The sequence below is a fragment of the Homo sapiens genome, chromosome X (genome assembly GCF_000001405.40).
Source record: "Homo sapiens chromosome X, GRCh38.p14 Primary Assembly".
In the NCBI taxonomy this organism is placed as follows: domain Eukaryota; kingdom Metazoa; phylum Chordata; class Mammalia; order Primates; family Hominidae; genus Homo; species Homo sapiens.
The window spans coordinates 149,706,425-149,717,568 of NC_000023.11; the positions used below are offsets into that span (position 1 = coordinate 149,706,425).

Here is an 11,144-nt window from a genome sequence, read left to right on the forward strand (position 1 = left end):
CCTTAACGAGGTGATTAGTTTAATTAATGTGTGGGCATTACATAGGGGATCATTTGAAAAGTAAGTCATCATTATAGTGATTTGTCACTCATTCACACAGCATTCTTTTATTATTTACCAACCCCTAGGAAACTCACCAAATGGCTACCTCATCTTCTGCCAGTTCTATCTGAACCATAATACTTTGGAAGGGGATTTCTAAGTAGAGAATTTTAAATAAAAGTTTAACTGTTCATAAGCCTCAGCACTGAGTCTTGAGTAGTTGTATTGGAGAGCTGCAATTCCAAGCCCCAGTTGGGAAGACTGAAGTCAGATACGGGAGACTGTGGGCAAGTGTGGGCACTGCAGCCAAGGTGATGGGGGCTCAGAGATGGGCCTCAGGAGAAGGAAACCCCAAATCCCAACAGGTACAATTAGGCTGTTAGATTCCACCTTGCAAGGACTACTGTGTTAACTTGCATATCCAAACAAGATGGAAAAAGAAACAGGGCATCAGGGAAAGGTCACAGCTGCCTCCTGACAAGAGAGAGTGTTCAGATAGCCCTGGGTGGCTAGAGCCCTGCCATGCTCACTTACCCAGGATGTGAGGAGCACAAACCAGAAGCTGGGAAAGCAGGCCTTTGGAGTCCCTTTAAAACTCAGATGCTTACCTGGTCCAGGAGCCAACAATTAGAAGATAGTGGGAGCATTCAAACTTTGGCTGTTGGGTGTTTGGAAAGATTGAAAATTCCATGAGACTTTAGTACCAGAGAAGCTCCAAATACTAGGACCATAGAACTGGCAGTTCTTTATTCATTCCATAAATGAATACTGAGCATGTATTGTGTGCCAGGCACTGTCCTGGGCTCTGAGGATACAATATTGAACACATTTCCTCCCTAGGTGGAACTTACATTCTAGTGAGGTAAAGGGTAGGCACACAATAAATCATGAAACAAACTTAAAGGTGCAGTAGATTTAATGGTTAACTTCCAAATCACCTTTGGTAGGCTTCCAAATGAACTCACCTGGGGGAGGTCTTGTGATTTCTGTTGCCATCCTGTCCCTCAGTAAAGTGTCTTATCCTGCATTCCACAAATTGTTTACATATGGATTAATATGTAATGTACCAACATTGAAAAGTTTGCTGATTTATTTTTAAATCATGAAATTTTACTGGTTGTTTTGCACATGGACATTTTAGTCTGTATGTTGCAATTTGGTACAATGATTCTAACCTCCGTATTGTATCCTCTAATAAAAAACGACAACTGCCATATAAAAAGTTCTCTCTTGTTCTAAACTCTCATAAAACCCTTCCAACTTGTAAGACTCTCCAGAACACTCCCAACTTTGTTGGTTTCTCCTCCCAGGTCAGTCCTCACATTTGGCTTCCAATAAACATTTATCCTCTTATTTTTGCCTAACCAGTCTTAATTTTGGTTGACATGGTGATAAATACTATGGAAACAAATTGAATCTAGAGAACTGAATAAGTGTTTGGGATGAGTTAAGAGGGAGGATTGCAATTTTAGAAAGGGTATTCACTTTTTAATGAGGTTATTTGTTTTTGTTTGTTCAATTGTTTAAGCACCTTATAGATTCTGAATATTAGACCTTTGTCAGATGCGTAGTTGGGGAATATTTTCTTCCATTCTGCAGGTTGTCTGCTTACTCTGTGGATAGTTTCTTTTGCTGAGCAGAAGCTTTTGAGTTTAATTAGGTTAACTTGTCAATTTTTGTTTTAGTTGCAATAGCTTTTGAGAACATAGTCATAAATTATTTCCCGAGGGTGATATCCAGAATGGTGTTTCCTAGGTTTTCTTCTAGGATTCTTGTAGTTTGAGGTCTTACATTTCAATCTTTAATCCATGTCGAATTAATTTTTGTATATGATGAAAGGTCAGGATCCAACTATTGGGTACTATGCTCACTACTTGAGTGACGGGATCAATAATATCACAAATCTCAGCATCTCACAATATACCCATGTAACAAAGTTGCACACGTACCCCCTGAATCTAAAATGAAAGTGAAATTACAAAAATAAATAATAAAGACACAAATTCTATGAAGAAAAAGAAAGGTTATTCATAGAAGGCCTCACAGAGAAGATATTTGGAGAGAGACCCAAGGGTGTCTGGAAAGCAGTATTAGCTAGCAGTATTATAGGAGCATGTGTCTAGAAGAGAACAAAGGCGTGCAGTACCTCAGGACCCTGGAACAGAGAGTAGGAGGTAGGGGTCTAGGGAGGCTGGTCTATTGAAGCCAGACCCTTTTCTCTGAGCCATAGGCTGTCTCAGAGCCAGGTCAGCTGCACTGTACCATGAACTGGCTTATTGGATCCAGTATTCTATCCAAGGTTACTGAGTTGGTTTACATTATTCCAGCATTTGAGACGTGGGGTAGGTAGAAGTATAGTTGGAAACAGATTAGTAATGGATTGAAGATTTTTGATGCTGAATATCAAGTATATTGGGTATATTATACTATACTATTTTACATGTCTGACACTTTAATAAAGTTATTTCATCATAATATCATGCCATTAAATTTGAAATCCTAAGTGAAATGAACTATATTTTATAAAAAAAAAAAAATGGCCCGGCGCAGTGGCTCACGCCTGCAATCCCAGCACTTTGGAAGGCCGAGACAGGTGGATCACGAGGTCAGGAGTTCGAGACCCGTCTGGACAATATGGTGAAACCCCGTCTCTACTAAAAATACAAAAATTAGCCGGGTGTGGTAGCGCACACCTGAAATCCTAGCTACTCAGGAGGCTGAGGCAGGAGAATTGCTTGAACCTGGGAGGAGGAGGTTGCAGTGAGCTGAGATTGTGCCATTGCACTCCAGCCTGGGCGACTGAGCGAGACTCTGTCTCGAAAAAAAAAAAAAAAGATCAAATTGGTCCATAAAGAAACAGAAAACTTTAATCAAACATTACAAACTAAAACTGTATTCTCAGTTCAAGCCACCCACAAATGATCCAGGAAAAGAAAGTTTCAGAGGCCAGTTTTACCAAATAATTAGAACTCATTGCCATCCTAAGCAAACTCTTAAAAACCATACAAAAAGATGGGCAACTGTGGAACTCATTTTCTGAGACTAGTGTTCTTTGTTTCAAATACCAGAAGAGGACCTCACCATGAAAAGAACACTTAAACCAAAGTTACTCACATAGCAACAAATATCCTAAATAAATTAATAGCCAATTCATTAGGGCAGTGTACTAAATGGAAAAACGGGATATATCCAAAGAATGAAAATACAATTTGACATTAAAATATACCTTCAGTGTGATTCCCTATATTAACAAGATTATAGAGGCAAAACATATGATCATATTAATGGATACAGAAAAATATTTTGAAAAAATTAGTAATCATCCATGATAAAAATAACTAGAAAATTAAGAGTAGAAGGAAATTTTGTTTCATCAAATTGATAGCAAATATACTTAATTGTAAAATGTTGGACGCATTCATGTCAGGCACAGGTCATAAATGTATGCTATCATTGCTATTTTTCAAAGTTGTATTGGAATACAAAGCCACAGATATGGATACCAAAATAAATAAGAGGTATGTGTATTGGAAAGAAAGAGTGATATTTGGTAGGGTAATGCAACAGTCTATCTAGAAAATTCAAAAAAATGCACACTTGAAATAGTCAAATGAATAAGAGACGTGTGAAAAATAGCGAACAGAAGATCAATAAAGCAAAATCAAAAGATTTGCAAAACAGACAATAACTATTAAGAACAGGTCATAGAAAATACCCCATTCACAATAGCAACAATATCCAAAAATTACCTAACAAGAAGACTAACAAAAGCATGTATGATTTTTACTGAGGCAACTATACAAGTACTGATATATCCAGTTCAAAGAGCACCCAAATAAACAAGGCAGTATATGATATCATTGATAGGGAACAGAATATTGCAAAGATGGCAATTCTATTTTTTCAAAAATTGACAGACGTAATTCCTTAACCAGCCAAGATGACTGTCAAGCTCAGGCATCTGTTGGTTTTTGATTGTTTGGTTTGGTTTTGTTTTTTTGAGACAGGACCTCACTCTATTTCCAAGGCTGGAGTGCAGTGGTGTGAACACAGCTCACTGCAGCACTGACATCCTGGGCTCCAGTGATCCTCCCACCTTAGCCTCCCTACCAGCTGGGACTGCAGTCACACGCCACCACACCCAGCTAATTTTTCATTTCTTTTTTCTTTTTCTTTTTCTTTCTTTCTTTTTTTTTTGAGATGGGGTCTTGTTATGTAGTTCAGATTAATCTTGAGCTACTGGGCTCAAGTGATCCTCCTGCCTTGGCCTACCAAAGTGTTTGGATTACAGGTGTGAACCACCGCGTTCAGTCTTGGGCTTCTATCTTAGACTCCCCAAAACAACCCGGGAAAACTAAAGAATAAAAATAAATAAATAAAGGAACAAGCAAACAATATCAAAAAAGAAATCTAAACAAAAAAAACATGAGAGAGCCCTGAGAATTTCATTGTATTTTGAAGGAATACTTGTGATTGGCGGGGAAGAGTGGCAGGGAAGTTGGGGTGGATAGGAAGAAAGAAATGTTTAAAATTCTGCCCCTACTTCACTGTGGAAAACTCGGGTAGGGTCTCAGACCACAGGTGCCAGTAGTCATGGGGTAACTTCAGGACATGAGGAAACACTGGTTGATTAAAGGAATACGGCTGGAATTTGTGCTGATAACCACTAAAACCACGTCAGTAAATAAAGATTGGCTTTTTAAAAATTATCGTTTTAATTGAAGATAAAGAATGGATTAAATTAGAGTATTGACCATTAGAGTGAAATAGGCAGTTAGGTTAAGTATGATTTTTGACACTGAATGAGAATTAAAAAATGAAAATCACTAAAATGAACTATGAAGTGTTAGATAAATTCTAAACGCAGGACTTCCGCAAATTTCTTGCAGCCACTCAGCCTCTTCAGTGTAAAAATAAAGCTTTCAGGGCAAAAGTTTGCAAAGTCTAGATCTGGCTGGGGAGGAGCCCCCGTAGGAAGGTGTGCATCTTCTCCCAGAGGTCACTACAATCACGGGTACTGAAGCCACATGGAAGCACCTAGCCTGGGATCCGCAGCTATTGTCTGCAAGGGGTGCAGTTGGGCAATGCTCAGAGGTGACAGAAACAGAGCATCTCCCACCCATCACTTCATGAAAGAACCAGTAGCCAAGAGGAGGACCCTCCTGAGTGAGGACTGACGGTCCACCCTCCCCACATAGAGGGGCCACAGAATCCAGCTCGGTCCCTCCTGTCAGCCCCGGAAGACCTTGGCAATGTTGTCCCCCGACCTCACACCTCCCGCTCACTGCCACCTCAGGGGACTCAGAGTCAGAGACTTGGTCCGAGAGGAGCAGACATCATTGGCAGAGGACGGAGCTCCAGGCTCTGCAAGGAATCAAGGTCAGAAACCTGAGGGAGGACTGAGGCACCCCCATGACCCTCGACCACATCTGCACCCCTCGCCACTACTTTTCCCCCTGCCCCACCCCGCCCCGCCCCGCCTCGCCTCGCCCCGCCCCGCCTCGCCTCGCCCCGCCCCCACACGGGCAGAATCGGGTTCGCTCCTGCTGTAAATCCAGGGAAGCTCCAGGCGTGGGGGCCGGATGTGACCTCCATTGGCTTCCGCCTCTGGGATCTGAGAGAAGCGAAAGCGTCTTTCTGAGGGGTGTCTTGAGAGTGGCAGAGGGCAGCGGGTCCAGGCTCCATGAGGAGGCAAGGTGAGAGCTGAGGGAGGACTGAGGAGTCCTCCTACCCAGATAGAGGGCCCCAAATAATCCAGCGCCAACCCTGGAGCCAGCCCTGAAACAACAGGGGACCAAATTATCAGGCTGAGACAATCCCCCTCCTCAATGCCCAAGGAGACTCTGCGAGTCTATGGTGTGACCCGGGCAGAGGCAGTTCCATAAAGGGTGGGGCCCCGGCCTTTCCAGGCATCAACATCAGGACTCTGAGAAATTATGGAGAGGTTCCACCCCATCCTGATAGAGGGGCCACAAAGTCCATCCTTGTCCCTGCAGACAACGCAAAGGACCTCCGGGCTTGGTACTGCGGAGTTGCACATTAGGGGGTCAGAGAGAAGTGATAGCCCGGTTCTGAAGGGCGGCTTGTGACCTGCTGAGGGCAGCGGGCCCAGGCTCTGTGAGGAGGCAAGATGAGATGCTGAGGGAGGACTGAGGATGCTCCCTACCCAGATAGAGGACCCCAGATAATCCAGCACCGCCTCTGCTGCCAGCCCTGGATCACCCCATGGGGATGGACTTCTCAGGCTGGGCCGTCCCCTCTGACACCCCCCTCGGCTTCTGCCCCCCGCCGCTTAAGCCTCAGGGGACTGTGGGGTCAGAGCTTGGTGTGACCAGGGCAGGGCTGGTTGGGGGGGGCAGGACCCAGGTTCTGCCAGGCATCAAGGTCAGGACCCCGAGGGAGGGCTGAGGCCCCACAGAGCAAGGCTCCCTCTCTGCTGTCAGTCCTGGGAAGTTCCTGGCATTGCTGCCAGGCAAGTGGATCCTGATTTCCGCATCCTGGGCTGACAGAGGGAAGGGGCTTGGTATCATGAGAAAGACCTAGGGGGAGCACAGACAGGGCTCAGTCCCTGCTGGGAGGTGAGCAAGGCCTGAGGGACAACTGAAGGGACCCAGCACCCCAGAACAGCCCCCCCCCATAGTCCCGCCGTCTCAAACTGAGGTGCCTTTTCATTCAGCCTTGGGAATCTGAGGGATGGAGACTCAGTTCCGCAGAGGGGGTCTGGGGTGCAGCCCTGCCAGCATCAAGAGGAAGAAGAAGAGGGAGGACTCAGGAGACTTTGGACTCCAGGTCAGTAGGGACCTTGGCCCTTGGAGTTCCAAGGCACGGTGGCCACATGTGGTGCATCCTCACTCTGCCTTTGGGGTGTCAGCAAGGAGTGGGTTGTGGTCTGAGGAGTGGAGCCTCAGGTCAACCCAGGGAGGAGTCCCAGAGGGAGGACTCAGGCAACCAATTATCCCTGAGGTAGAAAACCTGCCCCTGCCATCGGTCCTTGGAGGCCCCAAGCAGGACTCTAGGAAAGAGAGGCAGCTCCCCACTTCCTAGTTGGGGTTCTCTGGGAGATGGTGGTCGTGGCCTGCAAAACTCATCCACAGTTCAGCAGGAGAGACATGGATAGGCCTTGTCAGGAGTAAATCTGAATACCTGGAGGAAACCCAGAGAGAGGAGGCACCCCTGAAATCTGCTTCATCTGTCAGCCTTTGGCATCCCATGAGGGGTGTCCATGTAGTGCCCCTTCACTTTCTGCCTCCCATATCTCAGAGAGGTGGGGCCCTTGGTCTGAGGCAGGTCCTCAGGTCAGCAGAGGGATACACACCTGGTCAGCACAGGGTGGAGTCCAGGATCTGCCAGTAGTCAAGGAGAGGAAAATTGATGAAGACTGAAGGTAAGAATGTACCCTCCCACATGCCAAAGAAAAAGGGACCTCACCAATCCTTGCTTCCTCTGTTTTCATCCCTCGGAGGCCCAAGTTGGGGAGGCATGTGCCATGCTCACATTTCTGCCACGAGGTTGGGGGTGGCACCTTGCTCAGGGAGGTGAGCACCTTGTTTCAAGGGGGTGATGACAGGTCAGCAGGTGGAGCCACACCTGATCAGCAGAGGGAGGAGTCCCAGGATCTTTAGGACTCAAGGTGTATGTGTCCCCTTGGTGAGGACTGGAGATACCCACATCCCATAATGAAGGGATCCCACAGAGTCTCTCTGTCCCCTGTCCTTGGCTGTGTGGGGACCTCATCACGGGTGGCCCCAAGTGGCAAGGTCACTTGTACCACAGGCAGAAAGTTGGGAAACCTTCAGGGAGATGAGGTCTTGGTGTAAAGGGATATGTCTGCTCATCTCAGGGGTTGGGAGTCAAGGAAGGACAGGCCCTGGCAGAAGTAAAGATGAAAAACCCACAGGAGGACTTTGGAATCCCCAGAACCGAAGGGTCCAGCCTCTGCTGTCAGCCCTGGACAACCACATGATGGGGTGATGGGACGTGGGGCCCCTTACTTCTGTTTTGGAATCTTGGGCAGGTGAGCACTATGTTCTCAGAGGACGACTTCCAGTCAACAGAAAGAGCCCCATATGGTCCACAACTACAGTGGTCCCAGGATCTGCCAAGAGTCCAGGTGAGAAACCTGAGGGAGGATTGAGGGTTCCTCCTGGCCAGAACACAGAGGGCTGCTTAGAAATCTGCTCTGCCCCTGCTGTCTCCCCAGAGAGCATGTGCAGGACTATGTGCTGAGACCCCTCTCTTATACTGGGATCATTGGTCTCAGGGAGCGGGAGACATTGGTCTGAGAGGGCTGCACTTAGGTCAGCAGTGGGAGGGTCCCAGGCCATGACCAGAATCAAGGTGGGGGCTGACGGGACAGCACTTACCAAAAACATGGGACTCAGCCCTTCCCTGCCCCTTCTGTCAGCTATGGGAAGTCCCTGGGACCATGGGTGTTTCTATTTCCCTGATTTCCTCTTCTGATATCTCCTGGAGGTAGAGCTTTGGTTTAAGGAGATGGCGTCAGGTCAACAGAGGGAGGGTCCCAGGCCAAGATAGGCATCAAGATGGGAACCAAACAGGCTCCTTACCCGAGGACACATGGACCCTGCTGACTGTCACCATCTCTTGCTGTCCTTCCTGGGTAGCCCTGTGTACATGTGGCCAGATGTGTATCCCCACATGTCCTCTTTCATATCAGGAAAGAGCTATTGATCTGAGAGTTTCTCAGGTCAGGAGAGCTGTGTCTTCCAGGCCCTGGCAGGAGAAAGGTGAGGGCCCTGAGCACAGAGGGGACCATCCACTCCAAAAAAGTGAGAAACTCACAGAGTTTGGCCCACCTTTCTGACAGTGCTGGGGTGCCAGGATGGGTGCTTGCAGTCTGCAGCCTGATGGCCCCATGATTCCTCTTCTAGAAGCTCCAAAAACTGAGCAGTGAGGCCTTGGTCTCAAGCAATGTCTTCAGATCTCAGAACACAGGAAGCCTAGGCAGTGCCAGTAGTCAAGATGAGATGTTCACCCTTAATCTACAAATGGCCCCACCTGCCCCAGTACAGAAAGGGACCCCCAGCTTGCAACCTCACCTGCCCTACCTCAGTCCTGGAGCCTCCTGCTCTGATGTCCAGCTGCATCTTGAGCAGCCTTCTCACTTCCTTTTTCAGGTTTTTAGAGAACAGGCCAACCTGGAGGACAGGAGTCCCAGGAGAACCCAGAGGATCACTGGAGGAGAACAAGTGTAAGTAGGCCTTTGTTAGATTCTCCATGGTTCATATCTCATCTGAGTCTGTTCTCACGCTCCCTCTCTCCCCAGGCTGTGGGGCCCCATCACCCAGATATTTCCCACAGTTCGGCCTGCTGACCTAACCAGAGTCATCATGCCTCTTGAGCAAAGAAGTCAGCACTGCAAGCCTGAGGAAGGCCTTCAGGCCCAAGAAGAAGACCTGGGCCTGGTGGGTGCACAGGCTCTCCAAGCTGAGGAGCAGGAGGCTGCCTTCTTCTCCTCTACTCTGAATGTGGGCACTCTAGAGGAGTTGCCTGCTGCTGAGTCACCAAGTCCTCCCCAGAGTCCTCAGGAAGAGTCCTTCTCTCCCACTGCCATGGATGCCATCTTTGGGAGCCTATCTGATGAGGGCTCTGGCAGCCAAGAAAAGGAGGGGCCAAGTACCTCGCCTGACCTGATAGACCCTGAGTCCTTTTCCCAAGATATACTACATGACAAGATAATTGATTTGGTTCATTTATTGCTCCGCAAGTATCGAGTCAAGGGGCTGATCACAAAGGCAGAAATGCTGGGGAGTGTCATCAAAAATTATGAGGACTACTTTCCTGAGATATTTAGGGAAGCCTCTGTATGCATGCAACTGCTCTTTGGCATTGATGTGAAGGAAGTGGACCCCACTAGCCACTCCTATGTCCTTGTCACCTCCCTCAACCTCTCTTATGATGGCATACAGTGTAATGAGCAGAGCATGCCCAAGTCTGGCCTCCTGATAATAGTCCTGGGTGTAATCTTCATGGAGGGGAACTGCATCCCTGAAGAGGTTATGTGGGAAGTCCTGAGCATTATGGGGGTGTATGCTGGAAGGGAGCACTTCCTCTTTGGGGAGCCCAAGAGGCTCCTTACCCAAAATTGGGTGCAGGAAAAGTACCTGGTGTACCGGCAGGTGCCCGGCACTGATCCTGCATGCTATGAGTTCCTGTGGGGTCCAAGGGCCCACGCTGAGACCAGCAAGATGAAAGTTCTTGAGTACATAGCCAATGCCAATGGGAGGGATCCCACTTCTTACCCATCCCTGTATGAAGATGCTTTGAGAGAGGAGGGAGAGGGAGTCTGAGCATGAGATGCAACCAGGGCCAGCGGGCAGGGAAATGGGCCAATGCATGCTTCAGGGCCACACCCAGCAGTTTCCCTGTCCTGTGTGAAATCAGGCCCATTCTTCCCTCTGTGTTTGATGAGAGAAGTCAGTGTTCTCAGTAGTAGAAGGCACAGTGAATGGAAGGGAACACATTGTATACTGCCTTTAGGTTTCTCTTCCATCGGGTGACTTGGAGATTTCTTTTTGTTTCCCTTTGGTAATTTTCAAATATTGTTCCTGTAATAAAAGTTTTAGTTAGCTTCAACATCTAAGTGTATGGATGATACTGACCACACATGTTGTTTTGCTTATCCATTTCAAGTGCAAGTGTTTGCCATTTTGTAAAACATTTTGGGAAATCTTCCATCTTGCTGTGATTTGCAATAGGTATTTTCTTGGAGAATGTAAGAACTTAACAATAAAGCTGAACTGGTGTTGTGAAACAGAGAAATAAAAGGAGAAGGTCATTAATTCTTGTCTTCTTATCCATATTAATCTGTTGTTCTATGAAAGTACACACCCATACACACATGTACACCCCCCTCCCCCCACATACATATTCACCAAGGAAATGCAGTTTCCTACTGAGTTGCAGATTCTCTGAGATGTCCTGGACAATAAAAAATATTCCAAAGTAGAGAGTGGTAGCACCTGGGGTCACAGTAATACTAGAAATAGCTGTCAATCATTAAATATCCAGTACATGCCAGGCATCATCCCAGGTGTTTTAATACATTTTATACATTACAACAGTCCTAAAAAAATGGTCTA

At 47.0% G+C, this 11,144-nt stretch overlaps 1 protein-coding gene across 4 annotated transcripts in view; it reads left to right on the forward strand.

Annotated features, from left to right (window-relative positions):
• Positions 1 to 10,844, forward strand: part of MAGEA11 (MAGE family member A11) — a 29,076-nt gene extending 18,232 nt beyond the window's left edge. The window contains exons 4-8 of one of the 4 annotated variants that reach the window (XM_047442106.1): positions 5,339 to 5,738; positions 6,719 to 6,831; positions 8,057 to 8,152; positions 9,180 to 9,253; positions 9,329 to 10,844. In XM_047442106.1, coding sequence (XP_047298062.1) covers positions 6,736 to 6,831; positions 8,057 to 8,152; positions 9,180 to 9,253; positions 9,329 to 10,352 — 1,290 coding nt within the window. In that variant the 5' untranslated portion in view covers positions 5,339 to 5,738; positions 6,719 to 6,735 and the 3' untranslated portion in view covers positions 10,353 to 10,844. The other 3 variants (NM_005366.5, XM_011531164.3, NM_001011544.2) reach the window with 3 other exon arrangements.